This window comes from Homo sapiens, chromosome 7 (genome assembly GCF_000001405.40).
Source record: "Homo sapiens chromosome 7, GRCh38.p14 Primary Assembly".
Classification (NCBI taxonomy): Eukaryota; Metazoa; Chordata; class Mammalia; order Primates; family Hominidae; genus Homo; species Homo sapiens.
The window spans coordinates 7,194,531-7,220,283 of NC_000007.14; the positions used below are offsets into that span (position 1 = coordinate 7,194,531).

The following is a 25,753-nucleotide window of genomic DNA, read 5'->3' on the forward strand; positions in this document are numbered from 1 at the left end:
AATGGTGTGTTATCTTTCTGATATGCTGTTGGATTCGGCTAGCTAGTATTTTGTTGAGGATTTTTGCATCTATGTTCATCAGGGATATTGGCCTGTAGTTTTCTTTTTTTTTGTTATATTATTTACTGGTTTTAGTATTAGGGTGATACTGGCTTCATAGAATGAATTAGGGAGGGTTTCCTCTTTCTCTGTATTGTGGGATAGTGTCAATAGGATTGGTATCAGTTCTTCTTTGAATATTGGATAGAATTTAGCTGTGAATCCATCTGATTCTGGACTTTTTGTTTGTTGGCAGTTTTAATTACCATTTCAGTCTTGCTGCTTGCTGTTGGTCTGTTCAGAGTTTCTATTTCTTCCTGGTTTAATCTAGGAGGGTTGTATGTTTTCAGGAATTCACCCATCTCCTCTCGATTTTCTAGTTTGTGAGCATAAAGGGGTTCATAGTAGCCTTGAATGATCTTTTGTATTTCTGTGGTATCAATCTAATATCTCCATTTCATTTCTAATTGAGCTTATTTGGATCTTCTTTGCTTGGTTAATCTAACTAATGATCTGTCAATTTTGTTTATCTTTTCAAAGAACCAGCTTTCTGTTTCATTTATCTTTTGTGTTTTTTGTTTGTTTCTTTCTTTGTCTCAATTTCATTTAGTTCTGTTCTGATCTTTGTTGTTTCTTCTTCTGGATTTGGGTTTGGTTTGTTCTTGTTTCTCTGGTTCCTTAAGGTGTAACCTTAGATTGTCTGTTTATGCTCTTTCAGACTTTTTGATGTAGGCATTCATTGCTGTGAACTTTGCGTTTAGCACCACTTTTGCTTTATCCCAGAGGTTTTGATAGGTTGTGTCACTTTTATCATTCAGTTCAAAGGATTTTTAAATTTCCACCTTGATTTCATTGTTGACTGAATGATCATTCAGGAGTAGGTTATTTAATTTCCATGTATTTACATGGTTTTGAGGGTTCCTTTTGGAGTTGATTTCCAATTTTATTCCACTATAGTGTGAGAGAGTACTTGCTATAATTTTGATTTTCTTAAATTTGTTGAGACTTGTTTTGTGTCCTGTCGTGGTCTGTTTTGGAGAAGGATCCATGTGCTGATGAATAGAATGTATATTCTGTAGTTGTTGGTAAATGTTCTGTAAATGTCTGTTAAGTCAATTTGTTCTGGGGTATAGTTTAAGTGCATTGTATCTCTATTGATTTTCTGTCCTGATGACTTGTCTAGTGCCGTCAGTGGAGTATTAAAGTCCCCCACTATTACTGTGTTGCTGTTTATCTTATTTCTAAAGTCTAGCAGTAATTGTTTTATAAATTAGGGAACTCCAATGTTAGGTGCATATATATTTAGGATTGTGATATTTTCCTGTTGGACAAGGCCTTTTGTCATGATATAATGTCTCTCTTTGTCTTTTTTAACTTGTTGCTTTCAAGTCTGTTTCGTCTGAAACAAAAATAGCTACTTCTGCTAGCTTTCTGTGTCCACTGGCTTGGAATATCTTTTGTTGTTGTTGTTGTTGTTGTTGTTTTTGTAATTTAATTTTATTTTTTATTATACTTCAAAGTTCTAGGGTACATGTGCACAACGTGCACGTTTGTTACATATGTATACATGTGTCATGTTGGTGTGCTGCACCTGTTAACTCATCATTTACATTAGGTATATCTCCTAATGCTATCCCTCCCCCCTCCCCCAACCCCATGACAGGCCCCAGTGTGTGATGTTCCCCACCCTGTGTCCACGTGTTCTCATTGTTTAATTCCCACCTATGAGTGAGAACATACGGTGTTTGGTTTTCTGTCCTTGCGATGGTTTGCTCAGAATGATGGTTTCCAGCTTCTTCCATGTCCCTACAGAGGACATGAACTCATCCTGTTTTATGGCTATATAGTATTCCATGGTGTGTATGTACCACATTTTCTTACTCCAGTCTATCATTGATGGACATTTGGGTTGGTTCCAAGTCTTTGCTATAGTGAATAGTGCCACAGTAAACATACATGTGCATGTGTCTTTATAGCAGCATGATTTGTAATCCTTTGGGTATATGCCCAGTAATGGGATGGCTGGGACAAATGGTATTTCTAGTTCTAGATCCTTGAGGAATTGCCACACTGTCTTCCACAATGGTTGAACTAGTTTACAATCCCACCAACAGTGTAAAAGCGTTCCTGTTTCTCCACATCCTCTCCAGCACCTGTTGTTTCTTGACTTTTTAATGATCGCCATTCTAACTGGTGTGAAATGGTATCTTATTGTGGTTTTGATTTGCATTTCTCTGATGGCCAGTGATGATGAGCATTTTTTCATGTGTTTTTTGGCTGCATAAATGTCTTCTTTTGAGAAGTACCTGTTCATATCCTTTTCCCACTTTTTGATGGGGTTGTTTGATTTTTTCTTGTATATTTGGATATTAGCCCTTTATCAGATGGGTAGATTGTAAAAATTTTCTCCCATTGTGTAGGTTGCCCGTTCACTCTGATGGTAGTTTCTTTTGCTGTGCAGAAGCTTTTTAGTTTAATTAGATCCCATTTGTCTATTTTGGCTTCTGTGCCATTGCTTTTGGTGTTTTAGTCATGAAGTCCTTGCCCATGCCTATGGCCTGAATGGTATTGCCTAGGTTTTCTTACAGGGTTTTTCTGGTTTTAGGTCTAACATTTAAGTCTTTAATGCATCTTGAATTAATTTTTGTATCAGCTATAAGGAAGGGATCCAGTTTCAGCTTTCTACATATGGCTAGCCAGTTTTCCCAGCACCATTTATTAAATAGGGAATCCTTTCCCCATTGCTTGTTTTTGTCGGGTTTGTCAAAGATCAGAAGGTTGTACATGTGTGGTTTTATTACCGAGGGCTATATTCTGTTCCATTGGTCTGTATCTCTGTTTTTGTACCAGTACCATGCTGTTTTGGTTACTGTAGCCTTGTAGTATAGTTTGAAGTCAGGTAGCATGATGCCTCCAGCTTTGTTTTTTTGGCTTAGGATTGTCTTGGCAATGCGGGCTCTTTTTTGGTTCCATATGAACTTTAAAGTAGCTTTTTCCAATTCTGTGAAGAAAGTCATTGGTAGCTTGATGGGGATGGCATTGAATCTATAAATTACCTTGGGCAGTATGGCCATTTTCATGATATTGATTCTTCCTATCCATGAGCATGGAATGTTCTTCCATTTGTTTGTGTCCTCTTTTATTTTGTTGAGCAGTGGTTTGTAGTTCTCCTTGAAGAGGTCCTTCACATCCCTTGTAAGTTGGATTCCTATGTATTTTATTCTCTTTGAAGCAGTCGTGAATGGGAGTTCACTCATGATTTGGCTCTCTGTCTGTTATTGGTGTATAGGAATGCTTGTGATTTTTGCACATTGATTTTGTATCCTGAGACTTTGCTGAAGTTGCTTATCAGCTTGAGATATTGGGCTGAGACGATGGGGTTTTCTAAATACACAATCATGTCATTTGCAAACAGGGACAATTTGACTTCCTCTTTTCCTAATTGAATACTCTTTGTTTCTTTCTCTTGCCTGATTGCCCTGGCCAGAACTTCCAACACTATGTTGAATAGGAGGGTGAGGGAGGGCATCCCTGTCTTGTGCCAGTTTTCAAAGGGAATGCTTCCAGTTTTTGCCCATTGAGTATGATATTGGCTGTGGGTTTGTCATAAATAGCTTATTATTTTAAGATATGTCCCATCAATACCTAATTTATTGAGAGTTTTTAGCATGAAGGGCTGTTGAATTTTGTCGAAGGCCTTTTCTGCATCTATTGAGATAATCATGTGGTTTTTGTCTTTGGTTCTGTTTATATGATGGATTACGTTTATTGATTTGCGTATGTTGAACCAGCCTTGCATCCCAGGGATGAAGCCAACTTGATTGTGGTGGATAAGCTTTTTGATGTGCTGCTGGATTCAGTTTGGCAGTATTTTATTGAGGATTTTCACATCCATATTCATCAGGGATATTGGTCTAAAATTCTCTTTTTTTTATTGTGTCTCTGCTAGGCTTTGGTATCAGGATGATGCTGGCCTCATAAAATGAGTTAGGGAGGATTCCCTCTTTTTCTGTTGATTGGGATAGTTTCAGAAGGAATGGTACCAGCTCCTCTTTGTACCTCTGGTAGAATTCGGCTGTGAATCCATCTGGTCCTGGACTTTTTTTGGTTCATAGGCTATTAATTATTGCCTCAATTTCAGAACCTGTTATTGGTCTGTTCAGGGATCCACCTTCTTCCTGCTTTAGTCTTGGGAGGGTGTATGTGTCCAGGAATTTATCCATTTCTTCTAGATTTTCTAGTTTATTTGCATCAAGGTGTTTATAGTATTCTCTGATGGTAGTTTGTATTTCTGTGGGATCGGTGGTGATATGCCCTTTATCATTTTTTATTGCATCTATTTGATTCTTCTCTCTTTTCTTCTCTATTAGTCTTGCTAGCGGTCTATCCATTTTGTTGATCTTTTCAAAAAACCAGCTCCTGGATTCACTGATTTTTTTTGAAGGGTTTTTTGTGTCTCTATCTCCTTCAGTTCTGCTCTGACCTTAGTTACTTCTTGCCTTCTGCTAGCTTCTGAATGTGTTTGCTCTTGCTTCTCTGGATCTTTTAATTGTGATGTCAGGGTGTCAATTTTAGATCTTTCCTGCTTTCTCTTGTGGTCATTTAGTGCTATAAATTTCCCTCTACACACTGCTTTAAATGTGTCCCAGAGATTCTGGTATGTTGTGTCTTTGTTCTCATTGGTTTCAAAGAACATCTTTTATTTCTGCCTTCATTTTGTTATGTACCTGATAGTCATTCAGGGGCAGGTTGTTCAGTTTCCATGTAGGTGAGCGGTTTTGAGTGAGTTTCTTAATCCTGAGTTCTAGTTTGATCGCACTGTGGTCTGAGAGACAGTTTGTTATAATTTCTGTTCTTTTACATTTGCTGAGGAGTGCTTTACTTCCAACTATGTGGTAAGTTTTGGAATAAGTGTGATGTGGTGCTGAGAAGAATGTATATTCTGTTGATTTGGGATGGAGAGTTCTGTAGATGTCTATTAGGTCTGCTTGGTGCAGAGCTGAGTTCAATTCCTGGATATCCTTGTTACAACTTTCTGTCTCGTTGATCTGTCTAATGTTGACAGTGGAGTGTTAAAGTCTCCCATTATTATTGTGTGGGAGTCGAAGTCTCTTTGTTGGTCTCTAAGGACTTGCTTTGTGAATCTGGGTGCTCTTGTATTGGATGCATATATATTTAGAATAGTTAGCTCTTTTTGTTGAATTGATCCCTGTACCATTATGTAATGGCCTTCTTTGTCTCTTTTGATCTTTGTTGGTTTAAAGTCTGTTTTATCAGAGACTAGGATTGCAGCCCTTGCTTTTTTTTGTTTTCCATTTGCTTGTTAGATCTTCCTCCATCCCTTTATTTTGAGCCTATGTGTGTCTCTGCACGTGAGATGGGTCTCCTGAATACAGCACACTGATGGGTCTTGACTCTTTATCCAGTTTGCCAGTTTGTGTCTTTTAATTGGAGCATTTAGCCCATTTACATTTAAAGTTAATACTGTTAGGTGTGTATTTGATCCTGTCATTATGATGTTAGCTGGTTATTTTGCTCGTTAGTTGATGCAGTTTCTTCCTAGCAGCGATGGTCTTTACAATTTGTCATGTTTTTGCAGTGGCTGGTACGGGTTGTTCCTTTCCATGTTTAGTGCTGCCTTCAGGAGCTCTTGTAAGGCAGGCCTGGTGGTGACAAAATCTCTCAGCATTTGCTTGTGTGTAAAGGATTTTATTTCTCCTTCACTTATGAAGCTTAGTTTGGCTGGATATGAAATTCTGGGTTAGAAATTCTTTTCTTTAAGAATGTTGTATATTGGCTTTCACTCTCTTCTGGCTTGTAGAGTTTCTGCAGAGAGATCTGCTGTTAGTCTGATTGGCTTCCCTTTGTGAGTAACCTGACCTTTCAGTCTGACAATTATGTGTCTTGGGGTTGCTCTTCTCGAAGAGTATCTTTGTGGCATTCTCTGTATTACCAGAATTTGAATGTTGGCCTGCCTCGCTAGATTGGGGGGGTTCTCCTGGATTATATCCTGAAGAGTGTTTTCCAGCTTGGTTCCATTCTCCCTGTCACTTTCAGGTACACCAATAAGACGTAGATTTGGTCTTTTCACATGGTCCCATATTTCTTGGAGGCTTTGTTCGTTTCTTTTTACTCTTCTTTCTCTAAACTTCTCTTCTCTCTTCATTTCATTCATTTGATCTTCAATCACTGATACTCTTTCTTCCACCTGATCAATTCGGCTACTGAAGCTTGTGCATGCATCACGTAGTTCTTGTGCCATGGTTTTCAGCTCCATCAAGTCATTTAAGGACTTCCCTACGCTGTTTATTCTAGGCAGCCATTCATCTAATCTTTTTTCAAGGTTTTTAGCTTCTTTGCGATGGGTTCGAGCATCCTCCTTTAGCTCGGAGAATTTGTTATTACCGATTGTCTGAAGCCTTCTTCTCTCAACTCGTCAAAGTCATTCTCCGTCCAGCTTTGTTCTGTTGCTGGCGAGGAGCTGCGTTCCTTTGGAGGAGAAGAGGCGCTCTGATTTTTAGATTTTTCAGCTTTTCTGCTCTGGTTTCTCCCCATCTTTGTGGTTTTATCTACCTTTGGTCTTTGATGATGGTGACGTACAAAATGGGATTTTGGTGTGGATGTCCTTTCTGTTTGTTGGTTTTCCTTCTAACAGTCAGGACCCTCAGCCGCAGGTCTGTTGGAGTTTGCTGGAGGTCCACTCCAGACCGTGTTAGCCTGGTTATCACCAGCGGAGGCTGCAGAACAGCGAATGTTGCAGAACAGAGATGTTGCTACCCGATCTTTCCTCTGGAAGCTTCGTCTCAGAGGGGCACCCAGCTGTATGAGGTGCCAGTCGGCCCCTACTGGGAGGTGTCTCCCAGTTAGGCTACTGGGAGGTCAGGGCCCCACTTGAGGAGGCAGTCTGTCTGTTCTCAGATCTCAAACTCTGTGCTGGGAAAACCACTGCTCTCATGAAAGCTGTCAGACCTGGATGTTTAAGTCTGCAGAAGTTACTGCTGCCTTTTGATCATACTGGTGACCAGGGAAGCGGGGGAAAGCCGGCAGTAACAGGCCTCACCCAGCTCCCACAAAGCCCGAAAGGCCAGTGCCACTCCCAAGGTGCCTCTTCCAGCAGCACTGAGTTAATTTCCAGGCAGCTGCTGAGCAGTATTGAGAAGCTGCCCCAGGCTATATGCCCTCCCCCTCCCCCGAGGAAGTAAGCAGGGCTTTCAGGTTTCACGCTTCCCTACCTGCCGTGGTTTCTTTGCTGCTTTCTGCACTGCCTGTTTGCCTCCTCCCCCGATTCTGTCCAGGAAACTTCATGTTTGTTTGAAACTGTTACACAGTTCAGCTGGAAGTTTCCTTCTCCTTGGGGTCTTTCCCCAATTCCACTGGCAGCTCTCCCCAAGGGCCTCTGTGAGACAAAGTCAGGAATGGCTTCCCTGGTGACAGAGAGTGCCCACAGGGCTCTTCTGCTTCTTCCTTTATCCCTATATTTCTCACAGCTCTCTAAATTAATCTCAGCTCCAGGTGAGGTCACATCCTTCTCTCGTGAATTGGCCCTTTGGGATCCCCAGTGAGGATGTGTGTTCAGAGGCAGACATTCCCTTTCACACATTGGGCACTCAGAGTTTTTTGGCTGTCTCAGGGGACCAGCAGCTGTAAACTGCTTCCTTTGAAAGGTCTATGGATTCTCTCGGCTTTCCTGGTACGTTCCCGTGGTAGTAGTTCTTCGAGTAAAAGTTCACGGTGTGAGTCTCCACACACTACTCGGTGTGTCTGAGTGGGAGCTCCAAGTTAGTTATGCGCCCTGTCTGCCATTATTTTCCCATTTTGAGTTAGTTTTCATATATTGTGTTATGTAAAAGTCCAACTTCATTCTTTTGCATGTGGATATCCAGTTTTCCCAGCAACATTTGTTAAAAACCTGTCCTTTTCCCATTGAATGGTCTTGGCTCCCTTCCCAAAAATCCTTTGACCATAAAGTGAGATGCTTTTTTTCCTCTGAATTCTTTATTTCATTGTTCTGTATGTCTGTTTTCATGCCAGTACTGCACTATTTTTATTAACGTAGCTTTGTAGTAAGTCTTGAAATCAGTAAGTATGAGTTTTCTAGCTTTGTACCTCTTTTTCAAAACTGTTTTGGCTATTCAGGGTCCCTTAATATTCCATATGAATTTTAGAATGGATTTTTCTCTTTCTGCAGAAAGCATTGTTGGGATTTCAGTAGGAACTGCATTGAATCTGTAGGTCACTTTGGATAGTATTGACATCTTAACAATATTAAGTTTTCTAATTGATGAACATGTAATGTCTTTCTAATTATTTATGTATTCTTTAATTTCTTAAAGCAGTGTTTTGTAGTTTTTGTCGTACAGATCTTTCACTGTCTTGGTTAATTCCTAAGGTTTCTTTTTTTTGCTGTTGTAAATGGAATTATTACTTCAAGAAGTGTTCTAGTTAGTGCGTAAAAATGTAACTCATTTTTGTGTTGACTTTGTATTTGCTTCTTTGCTAAATTAATTTATTAGTTCTAACAGGTTTTTTTTTTTTTTTGGAATCTTTAGGGTTCCCTGCATATAAGATCATATCATTTGTAAGAAGATAATTTTACTTTTTCTTTCCAGTTTGGTTGTCTTTTGTTTCTTTTTCTTTCCTAATTGCTCTGGGTAGAACTTCCAGTACTATGTTGAATAGAAGTGATGAAATCAGGAATTCTTGCCTTGTTGTAGATCTTAGAGGAAAAGCTTTGAGTCCTTTACCATTTGATCTTAAAGGAAAAGCTTTTAGTCCTTTACCATGTGTCTGATGTTCACTGTGGGTTTCTCGTGAGTGTTTATATCATGAAAGCATATTGAATTTTGTCAGATACTTTTTCTGCATCAATTGAGAGGACCATGTAGGGTTTTTTTTTCCTCCTTAATTCTGTTAATGAGGTGTATTGCCTTGATTGATTTCCATATGTACAACTATCCTTGCATTCCAGGATAAATCCCACTTGGTCATGATGTATATAATCTTTTAATATGCTGCTGAATTCAGTTTGCTAGTATTTTGTTGAGAATTTTTACATCACTGTTAATAATGGATATTGGTTTGTAGTTTTTTTTTTCTCTTTTTAGGTTGCTCTCATTTCTATTTCTAAAAATAATTTTAATTGACACAGTCATTGTACATATTTATGGAGTACATAGTGATGTTACAGTACATATAATGTATCAGGGTAATTAGCATATCCATGATCTCAAACACTTCTTTGTGTTGGGAACATTCAGTATCCTCCTCCTAGCTGTTTGAAACTATATTATTATTGTTAATTATAGTCATCCTACAGTACTATAGAATACAATAACTTATTTCTCCAACTATTATCATTAGCTGTAATTTTGCATCCTTTAACACATCTCTCCCTATGCCTCCCTTCCCCTTCTTGGTTTCTACTATCCTTTGTTGGTTTGTGGTTTTCTTGTGTGTCTTTGTCTGGCTTTGGTATCAGGGTAATGCTGGCCTCACAGAATAAGTCAGGAAGTGTTCCCTCCTCTTCTGTTTTTTTTTTTTTGTTTTTTTGTTTTTTTTTTTGGAAAAGTTTGAGAAGGCTTGGTTTTAGTTCTTTTTCACATGTTGAGCAGAATTCACCAGTGAAGCCATCATGTCCAGGGCTTTTCTTTGTTGGGAGGTTTTTGATTACTCATTCAATCTCCATACTGATATAGGATTTTCAGATTTTCTGTTTGTTATTCTGTTTCAGTAAGTTTTGTGTTTCTCACAGTTTTTCCTCATCTAGGTTATGCAGTTGTTGACATTCGGTTGTTTATAGTATCCTCTTATCATCCTTTGTATTTCTGTGAAACTATTAGCAATGCCCTACTTTCATTTCTGATTTCAGTAATTTGAGTCTTTTCTTTTTTTCTTAGTCTAGCTAGAGATTTATCAGTTTTGTTCCTTTTTGAAGAACCAACTTTTAGTTTCATTGATTTTTCCATGTTGCTTTCCTGTTTCCCATTTTGTTTATCTCTGTTCTTTATTGTTTTATTTCTTCTGCTAGCTTTGGGTTTAGTTTGTTCTTTTTCTGGTTTTTAAAGTTGTAAAAATAGGTTCTTGAATTGAGAACTTTCTTTTTGTTTCGTGTGTTAATAACTATAAATGTCTTCCTTAGCACTGCTTTATCTGTGTCCCATAAATTTTCTTATGTTGTGTTTTTCGTTTGTCTCTAAGTATTTTCTAATTACTCTTGTGATTGATTCTTCGCCCCATTGGTTGTTTGATTTCCACGCATTTGTGAATTTTCCATTTTCCTTCTTTTATTGATTTCTAACTTCATTGTATTGTGCTCAGAGAAGATACTTTGTATGCTATCTGTCTTTTAAAATCTATTAACACTTTATTTGTGGCCTAACATGGTGTATCCTGGGAAATATCCCCTGTGTACTTGAGAACAATATGTATTTGGTTATTGTTAGGCAGAATGTTCAGTCTATGTCTGTTAGACCAAGTTGGTTTATTGTGTTGTTCAAGTTCTCCATTCTGTGTGGTTCTGTTAATTATTGAGAGTGGGGTACTGAAGTCTCCCAACTGTTATCATAGAACTATTTCTCCTTTCATTTTTTTCACCTTTGGTTCGTTCATCTCAGTGGTCTGTTATTAGGTATGTAAGTGTTTATATAGCTGACCCCTGAACAACACAGAGGTTAGGGATGCTATCCCCCCCACGGAAATCTGCATGTAACTTTTGACTTTTCTAAAGTTTACTAATAGACTGCCGCTGGAAGTCTTACTGATAATGTAAGCAGTTGATTAACACATTTTATATATGTATTATTTACTGTGTTCTTATGATAAACTACAGAAAATAATGTATTAAGAAAATTATAAAGGAGAGAATTTATTTACAGTTCATTAAGTGGAAGTAGATAATCATGAATGCCTTCATTCTTGTCGTCTTCACATTGGGTTGAGGAAAAGGAAGGATTGGTCTTGATGTCTTCTGGGTGGCAGAGGTAGAAGAAGATGCACATATAGATGGACCTATACTGTTCAGACCCATGTTGTTCAAGGGTCAACTATAATTGTTATATCTTTTGCTGTATTGAATCTTTTATTAATATATAATGTCCTTCTTGTCTTTTGTAACCTTTTTTGATTTAAAGTCAATTTTGTCTGATATTAGTATGGCACTTCTGTTCTCTTTGTTCTTGTATGAATGGAATATCTTTTTTTCATGCCTTCACTTTCACCCTGTTTGTGTCTTTGGGCCTAAAGTGAGTCTTTAGTAGACAGCATGTAGTTGGATGATGTTTATCAATTCTGCAAATCTCTGCCTTTTGATTAGAGTTTAACCATTTACATTTAAAATCATAAGGAGGAACTTCTGTCATTTTGCCATTTTTTTCTATGTGCTTTGTAGCTATTTTGTCCTTATTTCCTGCATTACTGTCTCATTTCTTTTTGTGTGTATTCTATAAGCTATTTTCTTTGGTTACTGTGATGATTACACTTAATATTTAAAAATTACAATATTTATACCAGCTTAATTTCAGTAACATAAAAAAATTATGCTTCTTTACAATTCCATCCCCACCACTTATTGATGTTGCAGAATTATATCTTTATACATTGTGTGTCAAAAAATATAAACTAATTTTTTAATGTGTTAGTCTCAAGTTATGTAAAAAAATGTGGAGTTCCAAAGTTACAATAATACTAGAATTTATAATTGCCTATGTATTTACTGTCACTGCAATTTTTATTTTTTCATATAGCTACAAGTTATTATCTAGTATTCTTTTGTTTCGACTGGGAGAATTTTGCTCTACAGAGCAGGTCTTTTGGTAATAAACTCTCTCAGCTTTTTACTTGAGAATGTTTTATTTAAGAATGTCTTGAGAGGCTGAGGCAGGCGAATCACCTGAAGTCGGGAGTCAAGACCAGCCTGACCAACATGGAGAAACCCTGTCTCTGCTAAAAATACAAAAAAATTAGCTGGGTATGGTGGCATACTGCTGTAATCCCAGCTACTCGGGAGGCTGAGGCAGGAGAATCGCTTGAAACCAGGAGGCGGTGGTTGCAGTTAGCCACGATCGCGCCATTGCACTCCAGCCTGGGCAACAAGAGCAAAACTCCGTCTCAAAAAAAAAAAAAAGAAGAGAATGTCTCAGCTTTTGTTTTAAAGGACGGTTTTTGTGGATGTAGGATTCATGGTTGGCATTTTTTTTTTTGTTTTATTATCTTAATTATATTGGCCTATGCCTTCTGTCCTCCAAAGTGTCTGATGAGAAATCTGATAATTTTATTGAGGACTGCTTATGTGTGATTAGTTACTTCTTTCAGCTTTCAGGATTTTCTCTTTGCCTCTTAGTGGTTTCATTATAATATATTTTGCTGTGAGTCTCCTTGAAGTCATTCTACTTGGAGTCTTTTTCAGCTTCTTAGATGTTTATATTCATGCCTTTTATTAAAATTGGGATTTTCAACCATTGTTTCTTCAAACATTTTTTCTCTCTCCATTACTTGGGACTATGACAGTGTTTATGTAGGCCTACTTGATGGTGTCACAAGTCCCTTAGGACCTTCACATTTCTTCAGCCGTTTTTCTTTGTTTTCCTAAGACTCAATAATTTCAATTGTTCTCTCTTCAAGTTCACTGATTCTTTTTTTCTTCCTGTCTAGATCTGCCTTTCAGTCTCTCTAGTGGATTTTTAATTTCATTTATTGTACTTTTCGGCTTCAGAATTTTTGTGTGTATCCTTTTAGGTTTTCATTCTCTGTGTTTCTCTTACTCTGTTGCTTTTTTTTTTTTTTTTTTTTTTTTTTTTTTGAGGTCTCACTCTGTTGCTCAGGCTGGACTCAAACTCCTGGGCTCAAGCAATCCTCCCATCCCAGCTTCCTGGGTAGCTGGGACTGTAGTTGTGCACACTGTGCCTGGCTCAGATTTTCCATGTCTTTATTCATATTTCCATTTTGTTCATACATCATTTTCTTAACTTGGTCCACATTTTCCTTTAGTTCTTTGAGCATTTTTCAGAAAGTTGTTTTATAGTCTTTGTTTAACAGATCTACCATCGGGTCTTTTTCAGGGACAATTTGTTAGTTTATTTTCTTTCTTTTAGTGGGCCATATTTTTCTGTTTCTTTGTATACCTTGTGACTTTTTTGTTGAAAACTGGATGCTTAAATTTAATTTAATGTGGTAATTCTGGAAATTAGGTAGTATCCCTTCCTCAGGGTGTGCTTTTTTTCTTTGTTTTTTTTTTTTAATTGTTGCAGTCTCTTTGCCAAAGATCAGTCTGAGATTTTGTACAATTAAGGTATTTTCAGGTCTTTTCTGTGCCTGTGCCTTAAGCTGGATATGTAATACAATAGTCCCTCTTTATCCCTGCTTCCACTTTCTGAAGTTTCAGTTATGGTCAACAGTGGTCCAAAAATATTAAATGGAAAACTTCAGAAATAAACAGTTCATAAGTTTTAAATTACATGCTTTCTGAGTAGCATGATGAAATCTTGTTTCAACCTGCTTGGGACATGAATTATCCCTTTGTCCATCATATGCACGTTGTATATGTTACTCACCCGATAGTCACTTAGCAGCTGTCTTGATTATTAGGTTGACTCTCGTGGTATTGCAGTGCTTGTGTTCAGTTCAATAAAGTTAAGGTTCAATAAAGTTAAAATAAAGGTTCAATAAAGTTAACCTTTATTTTACGTAATGACCCTAGGGCACAAGAATAGTGATGATGGCATATTGTCATGATTTTTTTTATTATTTAATATCTTATTGTGCCTAATTTACAAATTAGACTTTCTCATAGGTGTGTATATTTAGGAAAAAACATAGTACGTGTAAGGTTCAGTACTATCTGCGGTTTCAGGCATCCACTGGGGTTCTGGGAACATATTCCCTGTGGATAAAGGGGGACTACTATAGTGAATTTCTATTTTCCCTTGTATATGCAGTTTCTTTTGAATGCCTCAGTCCTTGATGTTTGGCTCCTAAAAAAAAAGGAAAAGGACAAAAATGAAGAGGGTTGGGGAGAGCACCAGCCTTTAAGTTCCTTGGCAGTTACCTCAGCTAGAGGGGGAGGGGCTTGCATCAGTGGGTGGAGGTACAACCACAATGGCTGCCAGCCCCTGCACCTATATCTTCGTGATCAGAAGTAGCAGTCAACAGTCAGAACACCCATTCCTGATATTTGGAGGACGGGGTCCTTATTGCCCACCCTAACTCCCACAGCTACATATAAGCTGCTCCACAAACACGTGCACAGTTGCCTGCCTGTGGGAGTGAGGGTGGGGTGGGGTCGGTAGCTGCTGCTGAGCAAATAACTGAAATTGACTGAAATCAGCCACAGTTTACCTTACTGTCCAGGACTTTTTCTTGAAGTTTGAAGTTTTCAGTATACTTTGAGAGCTTCATAATAGTTGTATGAGATAGATTCTACCAGCGTAAGTGTTCTCTGGGTATACAGACTCATTCTTGGTGCTTTCTACTCTACTGTCATCCAAGAATCCTCTAACTTAATCATGGATTCTTCGTATCTCACAACACATCTTGTCTTTCCATTTACTCGTTTTATTTTAGATCCTTTATGGAATTATAGTTTTCTTTATGTAGAGCCTATACATTTATAGTTTTGTTATTCTTTGTTACTTATAGCTTTTTTGTTTGCTATTGAAACGTGACCTTCCATTATAAGTCGCATATTATCTGCATATAAAAAGTGATTGACTTCACATACTTTGTAAATGGCAGCCTTAAGTGAATTTACTGGTTTTTTTGGACAGCATTTTAGTATTTTTTCCGAAGATGGCCATAGTATCTGCAGTTAATGATGACTTTCTCACCTCTTCTGAAATATTTGTACCTTTATCTTCTTGTGCAGTTGGATTGGCTAGTGCTTCCAGTATTAAATAGTGTTGATAACCTGCACCCTTGTCTTAAATGGATACTTTGTGCATATAAGTATAGAAACAGGAGCATGATGCAGAAAGAACAAGCTCTTCAAGAATAATCTGCTTCCAGGTATGTCTTACAGCCTTCTGAACCTTGTAATGGATAAGGATCAGCCTACTCCTGGGACAGGCAGATAGGACATTCGTGGAGAAAGAATATTGGATGTTCCTAGAAAGTTTTCAGTGTGATAAAGCAGTATAATTTTCTCCCAACCTTGGGTATTGTAGAACCTTTCACTCACGTCCGTGTGAAGAGACCACCAAACAGGCTTTGTGTGAACAATAAAGCTTTTTATTTCACCTGGGTGCAGGCGGGCTGAGTGCGAAAGGAGAGTCAGCGAAGGGAGATGGGGTGGGGCCGTTTTATAAAACGGCCTATTTATAAAAATAGGATTTGGGTAGGTAGTGGAAAATTACAGTCAAAGGGAGTTGTTCTCTGGCGGGCAGGGGCGGGGGACACAAGGTGCTCAGTGGGGGAGCTTTTGAGCCAGGATGAGCCAGGGGAAGGAATTTCACAAGGTAATGTCATCAGTTAAGGGAGGAACAGGCCATTTTCACTTCTTTTGTGATTTTTCAGTTACTTCAGGCCATCTGGATGTATACGTGCAGGTCACAGGGGATATGATGGCTTAGCTTGGGCTCAGAGGCCTGACAGAACCTGTTGAGGTTGCAAAAAATATTTGTGACTCTTGGAACAGTAACAAAAAGTTGTTCTGACTTTTTATTTTCTGAACCTGGAATTGTGGGACTATTTTAAAGGGTATAATTTCAACTGGAGACTTGGGGAGCTTGATTTTGACTTGATTGCGAAGCATCTGTATAGCTCATGTTGTATGTCCAGTTTATGGCTTTGTATTATAGAAATGTATTTAAAGCTTCAAATGATGAGACCATGCATAATTTCATGGTGGGCAGATTCTTTTTTTTTTTTTTTTTTTTTGGTTTTAAGGAGCGGAGAGTTTAATAGGCCAGACAGAAGGGAGAAGGCAGAAGGAAGAAGCTCCCCCGTACAGAGACAGAGGGAGGGAGGCTCCAAAGCCAAGAGAAGGGATCCCCAAGTGCGGTGGACACCAGCCAGGTATATATGCAGAGGCTGGAGAAGGTGGTGTTCGATTTGCATAGGGCTCCGGGGATTGGGTTGACTAGGCGCATCATTCACATAGCTCATGAAAAAGCTGGCTCTTCCACCCTGGTCTTTTAATATGCAAATACATGGCGCCATGATGTTCTACGCTCGTCGGGATTCCAGGAACATGTAGGGCAAGGGCAAGAAGGCTGTGGGAATCTCCATGTTTGGGTGGACCCAGTTTCTAATGGCCTAAATTTGCATATGAAAGGTTGCTGGCCTGGCTTTAACAGCCGTGGCTTTACAAGAAACTTTTCTGGAGATGCTTTAAAAAATGAAAACTTTCCAAGGACCCCTTTTTCTTCTCTGCCTAAAATAATTTCTTAATAACTCCTACAACATTCCCGCCTGTGGAGATGCCACACTAACTGCTGTTAGAGGGTTTTGGGCAACAACTCCTTCTGGCTACTTACTGCTGAAAAGGGGCATCATATGGGGAACAGCAACTAGGGCTCCTCCTGGGGTTGATCTAAGGATCCTCGGAAGAATGGCATGTCCATGTGTGGATCAGTTTGCAGCACCATTTGGAGATTGATTGCTTCTAGGTGAGAGTTACAGTATTGAGTATACAGGGCCCAGATATCAATACAAGACATATAAACAAGAGAAGGCTTAAAAAAGGAGTTAACCAATTCCTTAAGGAAGACTGGAATGTATTAAAGAAGAATTTGTAGCCACCCGGGGCTGAAGCTGGCGTTTTCCCTGAGCCTGTCAATAATTTTGATTTGATCTTTAAGTACCTGTAGATTTTTCTCTACTTTACTAGAGGTGTTAATCACCCCTAAACCCAAAAAAAGTCCTAGCAGACTCAGTGATAGTAAAACTTTCATGCTTCCTTGTCAGTAACTATTATTCCTGCTCTAAGGATAATAATTAAGCAAAATACAACAGCAATGGAAACTCTGTCCAATATTTCAGTTAGAAGGTGCTACCGTGTGTATCCCTATTGCAAACAGTAGAGTGAGTATAGCAGTTCCCACAAGTGTGGTGTAGTAGATAATTTCCATCTAAAATTTTACTTGCCAAGATAATTTCCCTTTGGTGGTCTATGAAGCTTTGGTTTTATTTTCCTAAACAAAGAAACCTTCGGGTTATGGATACCCTACTTACTTTTATTACCTGGCAGAATTTGCAGGATAATTTCCCACAATTAGTATAGTGATTCAGATTTTTACATTACCCATCCCTTTTTCTTTCTTCCAAGCTGCAGAAGATTACCACTTGAGTCACAGGAATAAGCAGGGTTAATTTAAAATGTAGGCAAAAAGCTTAAAAACAATTAATGAGACTAGGATTTAATGACAAATGTATGATAAGCTTTGGAGCAAAATTTTCTCTCCAGTTCTCATTTTTGGTAAAAGCTAATTGTGAATGAACTTTAGTCTTATACTTGGCCTGATTATTTGCATGAAGTGTTAGCAAGAATGGTTATTTCTACATAGGTCTTTTGGATGGCTTTGATAAAACTCAGTTCCACAAGGAATCTTAGATAAGACCTTTAAAGCCTAGGCCAGCAATGGGTTTCTATCCTCAAATACCTGTGAGTTAGGTGATCCTCTCTTCTTGAGGTCCCAAGAAACTCGGAGCTTCCAGACCTGTTAGAAAGTGACGTTCTTTACTGACCACAGGTTAGGAGCCCTGTGCGGGGACTGTGTAGACAAGGTATGATGCCAGTTCTCCCAGGGGCTTTTTATTGGCTCTGCGTGTCAAGCTTGATTCCTTAAAGGGAAACACACCCTTTCAGTCAAAGCCTTGGTATAATAACCAGTTTTTCCAATTGTGTCCTGTTGAGAAAGAAAAATGGATTCTTACTGCACTAATGCAAACAACTATATTGCCATAAGTTAAGAGTAATTACAGTTAGTCTCCAAATTATAGAGGAACCAGGTGGGGAAAAATGAACATTGTTACTTATGTCCGTATAAGAGACCACCTGAGCAGGCTTAGTGTGATCAACAAGGCTGTTTATTCACTTGGGTCCAAGTGGGCTGAGTCAGAGAAAGGAGTCATTGAAGGATAGTGGGATTAGCATTGGTTTTTAAAGGTTTGGGATAAGTGGTGGAGTCAGGAGCAATTTTTTGTGGGTAAGGGATGGATGTTGCAAAGTACATTCACAAGGGCGGGGAGGAATGTTTCAGAGTACATTCACAAGGGAGGGGAGGGTGTATTGTCACAAGGGCTGGGAGGAATGTTACAAAGTACATTCACAAGGACAGGGAATATCACAAAGTACATTATCACAAAGGCAGGGGAATGTCACGATGGCTTGACCATGGTGCAGCCAGCTCAGAGGACCTTACAAAACATGCTCCAAATTTTGTTTACAGTAGTATACCTTACTCAATTATTAAAAGGTCATAAATAGTTTAGAATAAGTTTCCTTGACTCTGAAAAACCAAACAAGGATCAACAATATTCCAAGCAAAAGTTAAAAAGTTGCTTAAACTTTTTGAGTGCAGTCCACTTAGTTAACTCTTGTTTTGCTTGATATTTGTGAGCATGTCAGTTCTTTAGGAGTCCCATATCTTCTTTCTCAATTTCAGTGTTACAATCTTCAAAGCTATTAAAAACCTGCAGTTAAAGTCCTTAATATAGCTTGATTATAAACCGTCTTTTGAGAAGGAACAAAGCAAGACAACAATTGTCTGCAAATGACAAAATTTTCAGGATAGCTACAGTTAAAAACATGACTGATAATTTATTTCCATGGTTTACAGTAACTTTAGCCTTAATTGTGATTGACAGCATGTACTTCGGCATTAGAATTTTAGAAATCCCATACAATTTTGGAACGTATATTAGTATTATTTACCGAAATATAATTTAAAGAAGATTGGACATCATTTTGGCAATCTTATGTGACTAAACATGTCAGATGATTCCGTCTACCTTTTCTCTGAATGTTTCAGGGGCCCTCTGAGCCATCCAGAAAGCCAGGCATCAGGAAGGACAATTTCCAGATTGGCATAAATATTTTGCCAAAATGGTGACTTAAAAGGCAAAAATCTTTCATTAGCCTTTACTGTGACATGAAAATTTTGTTTAAATCCAAATTTTACCCTTGCACTAGTTTATTAATGTTAACCCCAATTAGTTTAAATGAAACCTTATGGATTATTTCATCTAATTTTATCCACTTTGACCATGAGGTAAAAATCTTTACAAACCTTTTATAACCTTTTTACTAAAGGGCAGATTAGTGCCTTAAGACCCTCTTGCTATGCGTTTATTTCAATGCTTAATTTATGAAAAGAACATATAAATATCATGGGAGAAGACACTGTAGTTCTTCTACCATGCATTTCATTGCAAGGCAACCCAAAGCCAATTGGCTTATTTTGTAATCAGTCCATCCCTGATGGGAGGCTCATCTCCCAGTGGGGGGTAGGGATGTTTCCTTATCTTCCAGGTGGCCAAGAGCATGCTTTCTAATTTATAACTACTATTAGCCATCCCTACAGTGTATTTTCTACTTAGTTATTACACACCAAAGCTTTTCATAATGTGAAGTAATTTGATACCCCCCAAACTTAAAACACAGTAGATAACACAATGCAAAACAGAATAGAGCCTTTGATTTTGAGAGGGATCCATCTCCTTTTAATTCCTGGGATTTCATGAGGAAAAAAAGGTTTTTTTCCCAAAACAGGGTCTGTGGCATCTCCTGTTTTTCCCAAGGAGTTCCATGCTACCAGAAGTTATCTTAGGACCTCTCATGCATGCATTAAGAGTGGTAAGACAAAAAATGGAGAAAAATAATTCAGTCGACTGAGGAGAGCCTTTTTCCAGAAAAACAAGATCCAAGAAGAGAAAAACATAAAAGCCTTTTAAGTATACCTATAACTTGAATATCCACTTTTAATTAAGCTGAGCACTCTTTAAGGAAATCCTTTTAAATCCCCTGTTACTTGACTTTAGCCATGCCAAGCAGTTAAGATTTTCGGCTTTCGAACTTTCGAAAGTAACCTCACAGGTGAAACCAACAAGGCTTAATCAGGTAATGACTCAACTGAGGGTGTACAGAGTATTTTCAAAATTGAGACTGAGACAGTGAAAGAGATCCAACCCAAGCAACTCCATTTGGTTTCCAGCCCCCAAGCTGTCCTTGCCCATCCCAGGGGTAGGCCGAACAAACTTTCGGAGAAGCCGGGTTTACATTCTCCAGTCGAAAACAAAGATGATAATAGCCACTTCCCATGATATACTTTCCACTTGCCTGGGGACCAGACCAGGAAGCTAGCTACAAGACTAGAAACCTTGGCCCAGGAGCCATGCAGCTGGAGGCTACAAGATTTTGACCCTCCTTAAACTGCTCTCAAGATCAGGCTTAAGATATTTTGTAAACCCTGCCTCTGATGGATCAGCTGGTACCATCCAGGTTGACTAACTGGATTATCTGATTTTGTGGCCCTCACCCAGGAACTGACTTAGCACAAGAAGACAGCCACCATTGTAAAATGGTGGAGACTAAAACAAAGTATTGCCACGCGGTTACAGATCGTGTTCCCAAGGACGTGAAACAAGATGGAGGCTGTAGCCAAGTTTGCCACCGACTGCTTTGCTGGGCTGGCTTGAACAGCAGGCTTACGGAGTCCTGGGCCTGCATCCTAACCTAAGGTACCCTTTCTTTGACAGAACCATACAGAAAGAGACATGCAAAGCACACCAGATTGTTTATAACTGAAGACCAACCTCACAAATCCTTCTTCATTAATTATAAATTTACAGAGAATATAAACAATGATCCTTATTATCCCTTTGCCAGTTTGTGCCGGGAGAGAAAAGCCAAAAGCCCGACTGGTAAGAAATTTTTACACTTTTGCCAGCATATCAGGCTTCTGGGTTCCCTTTCCCCCTAGCTTAACTTTAAGCCAAGCATTTTAAGGTTTGGAAAATTAGCCTTTTTCAGGTTGGAAGAACATTATAAAAGAGACAGAAGCCATTTTAAACCGCGAAAGAAGGAAAAACACCATAGAAAGGAATTCCAGTTAGGGTTTTCAAGAAGTATTGCCTCTCTTCCTATTGGGAATAGTGTTTCCTCTATTTCTTTGCCTTCCCTATTTTTTCTTTTCCCTTTTGGCGTACTGTAGGAGACATATTGCTTATCTCCAAAATTCTCTTCTGCTTGCAGAGCTGCCTGTTTTAGCTGCAGTGAGGGCTTGAGTTAGCAGCAACATAACATCCTCCCGTGTGAGGTTAAATACCTGAGTTAAATTTTGGAAAGTCTCTGTATACCTATTTCGGGTCATTAGAAAATCAGTCTAAGTCTCCTTTTACTTGCCTAAGGTCCTGCAATGAGCAGGGAACTTGAAGGTGCCCCAAATAAGGGGGACCCCTAGATGATTTCCCTGAAAGTTACTTTTTTTTTTAATTTTGGGGAACTATTTTCCCTGGGCCTGCCCAATATGGTGCTAAAAGATCTGAGTTGATCTTACAACGCTTGCAGAGGTTTATTAGAAATGCCATGCTCTTCTGCAAAAGAAAATGAGTTGCTTTCTTTAAAGTTCTGAGGTTAAGGAAGTTCCAGTGTTTGAGAGTGCACTCCAGAGGGGTGCAAGCTGAAGATAATTTATTACCCATTTAGAAAAAGAAGCGAGAATAAAAGCATTTTCTTAGTCTCCTTCCTTTCTGTATGACCCAGAGTGGAGGAGAAGACGGGGTATCCTCTGAATGTCTTACCTTCCCAGTTTCTGGATTCCGGCACCTTCTTAAATGTGCTCCCCCATGGTTGTAGGCATGGTCCTCCAAGCTGTGGATCTGGATGAACTAAGTAATGGGGCTAACCACATCTACCCAAGCAGCCTTAGCTTATCCGCCTTGTGTGATTTCTCTTTGACTTCCTAGAACCAGTGTGATTTGCCTGGATCCCCCCTCCCCCAGCCAAAAAAAACATCTGGAGAGGCTGTCACCTTTCGGGCAAGGCTCCTTTAACGGAGGCAATGTGCTATAGATTGCCTGCTATTACGGCCCATGCTATAAAGCACTTACCCTTGAAAGAAAACAGTTCCAGTTAACTTCCGAACTTAAACTTCCCTTACTAATTAAGTACTATCTTAATCGGAGACAGAATAGATGCCTTAAAAGAACGTAGGAATAGAATGGCCGTTTTCCCACTGATGGGACAATATCGGGACTAAAATCTGGCTGCCGAAGACATTTTACTGCTAACTTAAAAGCATAAACTTCCGTTCTCAGAAGAGTCCTAGAGCCTGATTTCTGCTAAGTGGCTTAGAAATGACCATGTGCTTCCCAGAGAAACCATAGAGAGAGAGAGTTATTGAGTACTGCCTGCTGTAATTCTCTTTCTTTTCTAACAGACCTCTTTTTCCTAAACTGTAAGTATTCCTGCACATTAGACACACACACACACAGGGTAAGAGATTGTGGATAAAAAGAGAAAATTTGGCGACAGGGTAGATGGAAGAGAGTATTGAGATTATAGGACAGATTTAAAGTTGAAATCCGCTGCATACTTACCAGTCTGATGAATGAACTTCCTTTACCGGCCAATGCACCAAAATGATAATGGTTCTGATGAGTGAAGGAACACCAGGGTTCTTGGTACTCATGCTGGCTTAGATAAAACGACATGGACACACATGGAGGGGTTTTAAGGAGCGGAGAGTTGAATAGGCCAGAAAGAAGAAAGAAGGTAGAAGGAAGAAGCTCCCCCATACAGAGCCGGGGAGCTGAGGGGGTGGGGGGGCTCCAAAGCTGAGAGAGGGAATTCCCCTACCTGCCCCCACCTTTTTTTTTTAAGAGACATGGTCTTGCTACATCACCCAGGCTGCAGTGTAGTGGTCATTCACAAGTGATCCTCCTGCCTCAGCCTCTTAAGTAGCTGAGACTACAGGCACATGCCACCTGCACCTGGCAGTGGTTAAAATCTTAATGATTATGTGGGCACATGCTTTATTCGCTGATGGATTATTTCATTTTTATTCCTTTTTGTTTAATAAGATAGAAACTTCTTTAAAAGCTTTGAGAAAACTATTGAAAACTTAAGAGGTGTAGGCATGATTTGAAATACAACAGAAGCAGTTCTTTTGTTTTTATGTATTTCCTTAAAGAAGCAAAGTCTCACTCTGTTGCCCAGGCTGGAGTACAGTGGTACAATCATAGTTCATTGCAGCCTTGTCCTGAGCTCACGTGATACTCCCACCTTGGCCTCCTAAAATTCTGGGATTACAGGCATGAGCCACTATGCCTGGCCCAGAAACAGTTTTGTTTGGTAAATCAGGCAGCATAGATACCGTTTGAGAAAAATCATTTCAATTGTAGCTCTCCCCTCCCTGCCGCAAAAAGCTAGATGGCTCTTGCAAGCTGAGCGGTATGTTAGATACTGGTGAGAGAAAGACACATGAGCCCATAGCTGCCATTTGCGGGGAGCTTTACTGATGAGTATATAGTAAAGGTGTAAATGAAGGAATAAGGAAAAATTTGATGGGATAGTATTATAGTTTGGCCGTGGGAGTTAGGAAAGGGGAGCAGTGGAAAGTGCTGAAACTAAGATAACCTTTAAAAGTTAGTTACAGGTCTGTGGAGTAGACAAAATCAGGCCAGGCACTCCAGTCATAAAGATTAAAATGGTCAGTCATCTGTATAAAAGGCCATGGAAGTCTTGGAGAAAGGCTCAGTGTAGGCTTAGGGATGGGGAATGTCAGAAATAAAATGACAGAAAGGTGAACTAGAGCTAGACCCTGTGTACCAAGTTAAGCAGTTGGATTTAATTTTGTGGCATTGAAAAGTATTATATTTTTAAGACAGGACTGTTAGGTGAAGTCTCTATGGGGTTGTTTGCAGATAGTAGTAAAATTTATTGGCCCAACGAAAAATGAACAAATAATGGAAGGAGAAAAGTGTCATCAGAGTGGTTAAAATGGAGCAACGTAGAGATATTAGATTTGGGGGTGGGGGATGAATAAGGTGAGCTGCTTTGCCCCCTCATTACAAGCTAGTTCTTGTGTATTGCACTAGTGCCTCATAAAAAGAATCATAGCAACTCTGAGAGGTAAGATATTCTGTTTTGCCTTATTTTGCCTTCTGAGAGTTTACACTGAAACAGTAGAAGATGTGCTAGTGACTATATCTTTGGCTCCTAGTACAATATTTAACATTTGGAAAGGTCCATTTGGTAGCACCTTCCAAAGATTACAGAAAACCTTGTAATTGGGTTTAAAATCAAATTGGTATACATCTCAAACCGTGTTTCTATTTTTTTTTTTTTTTGAGATGGAGTCTTGCTCTGTCGCCCAGGCTGGAGTGCGGTGGTGCAATCTCGGCTCACTGCAAGCTCCGCCTCCGCAGTTCACGCCATTCTCCTGCCTCAGCCTCCTGAGTAGCTGGGACTACAGGCGCCCGCCACCACACCCGGCTAATTTTTTGTATTTTTTTTTAGCAGAGACAGGGTTTCACCATGTTAGCCAGGATGGTCTCGATCTCCTGACCTTCGTGATCCGCCCGCCTCGGCCTCCCAAAGTGCTGGGATTACAGGCGTGAGCCACTGCGCCTGGCATGGAAATAGTTATTTTTCATAAAATACATGATTTGTGTTAACAGGTAGAAGGTTTAACATTACTGTTTTGAATAGTTTATACATAGGCTTTTAGGGGAATGAAAATATTCTATGATACTATAATGACAGATATGTATCATTGTACATTTGTCCAAACCCATAGAATGTACAACACCAAAAGTGAACCATAATGTAAACTGTAGACTTTGAATGATAATGATGTGTCAGTGTAGGTTTATCAGTTGAAACAAATGTACCCTCTGGTGAGGAATGTTGATAACAGGAAGCTAGGCATATGTTGGGGCAGAGAGTATTGGGAAATCTCTGTTCTCCTTCCTCTCAGTTTTGTTGTGAATCTAAAACTACTCTGAAAAAAATAAAGCCTTAAAAATTTTTCAGTTTTAATTTCTAATAAAAATCTAATCAATAGATAAAACCTACATAAATAAAAACTATTTGGAGATTCTCACTAATTAAGAGTTTAAAGGGATCCTAAGATTACTTTTTGAGAGCTGCTCAAGAAATATATATTCATTAAACTCAATTTAGAAAAATAATGTTAGTTGGCCCTTATCCAATTGAAATATTAGAAGCATTTTAAGTATTTTGGTTTATTTTCTTCTAGTCTTTTTTTAGTATCACTTTTTTTAAGCACATAATTGTAATAACATTGTCTATAAAATTTTGTGTGGAATTGTATATGAAATTGTTGTATATAAAATATTTGTGTTCACTTATGTTCTAATATGTTTTCATAATAAAATGTAATCTTCAACAATTTAGCAGTTGTATAATCTACTTAGTGGGTATATCTTAATTTACATAATTTTACCTTGTATTGATTCTGATTTGGGATATTAAATCTTTTTCATTTAGCACATCCTTGGAAGCTTATTATGTACAGGCACTGCTCATGAATGCTTTTTATTTTTTATTAAGATTTTCTTAGATTAAGAGTTGAGTGGCTGAGTAAAAAGAGGGGAATGTGCTAAAGAGAATCTTGTCTTTTGAGTTTTTTGTAGTAGCAGGCCATATAGCAAGCAATTAAAATTAATAGGAATTTACACAACTCTGTTAGCCAGCATAGGGTTGTGGAAAGTTATGGTAAATTAATTTAAAGCACTTAGAAGAATATCCTTTTCAATG

General features: G+C 38.7%; 1 protein-coding gene across 14 annotated transcripts in view, besides 5 other annotated features; it reads left to right on the plus strand.

Moving 5' to 3' along the window:
• C1GALT1 (core 1 synthase, glycoprotein-N-acetylgalactosamine 3-beta-galactosyltransferase 1) overlaps positions 1-25,753 on the plus strand; it is a 91,240-nt gene that overhangs the window by 37,154 nt on the left and 28,333 nt on the right. For 4 of the 14 annotated variants that reach the window (XM_047420620.1, XM_047420617.1, XM_047420618.1 and 1 more), the window contains one exon: positions 20,512-20,709. The exons of 7 other annotated variants lie outside the window; for them this stretch is intronic. The gene's annotated coding sequence lies outside the window, so the exon portion shown is untranslated. Of the gene's footprint in view, positions 1-15,915; positions 16,045-16,079; positions 20,710-20,732; positions 20,893-25,753 lie in introns of those variants that run through there. 3 more of the 14 variants (XM_017012442.2, XM_024446838.2, XM_017012448.1) reach the window with 3 other exon arrangements.
• Positions 6,814-7,332: an enhancer, noted in NCBI's record as "H3K27ac-H3K4me1 hESC enhancer chr7:7240975-7241493 (GRCh37/hg19 assembly coordinates)". NCBI's record gives its function as "activates a minimal SCP1, AML or CMV promoter by ChIP-STARR-seq in naive H9 embryonic stem cells {active_cell/tissue: H9 hESC(naive)}" and the evidence as "EXISTENCE:reporter gene assay evidence [ECO:0000049][PMID:30033119]".
• Positions 7,483-7,612: an enhancer, noted in NCBI's record as "active region_25638". NCBI's record gives its function as "activates an Ori minimal core promoter by ATAC-STARR-seq in GM12878 lymphoblastoid cells {active_cell/tissue: GM12878}" and the evidence as "EXISTENCE:reporter gene assay evidence [ECO:0000049][PMID:35858748]".
• Positions 14,883-15,454: an enhancer, noted in NCBI's record as "NANOG-H3K27ac hESC enhancer chr7:7249044-7249615 (GRCh37/hg19 assembly coordinates)". NCBI's record gives its function as "activates a minimal SCP1, AML or CMV promoter by ChIP-STARR-seq in primed H9 embryonic stem cells {active_cell/tissue: H9 hESC(primed)}" and the evidence as "EXISTENCE:reporter gene assay evidence [ECO:0000049][PMID:30033119]".
• Positions 15,455-16,025: an enhancer, noted in NCBI's record as "OCT4-NANOG-H3K27ac hESC enhancer chr7:7249616-7250186 (GRCh37/hg19 assembly coordinates)". NCBI's record gives its function as "activates a minimal SCP1, AML or CMV promoter by ChIP-STARR-seq in primed H9 embryonic stem cells {active_cell/tissue: H9 hESC(primed)}" and the evidence as "EXISTENCE:reporter gene assay evidence [ECO:0000049][PMID:30033119]".
• Positions 16,026-16,597: an enhancer, noted in NCBI's record as "OCT4-NANOG-H3K27ac hESC enhancer chr7:7250187-7250758 (GRCh37/hg19 assembly coordinates)". NCBI's record gives its function as "activates a minimal SCP1, AML or CMV promoter by ChIP-STARR-seq in naive and primed H9 embryonic stem cells {active_cell/tissue: H9 hESC(naive and primed)}" and the evidence as "EXISTENCE:reporter gene assay evidence [ECO:0000049][PMID:30033119]".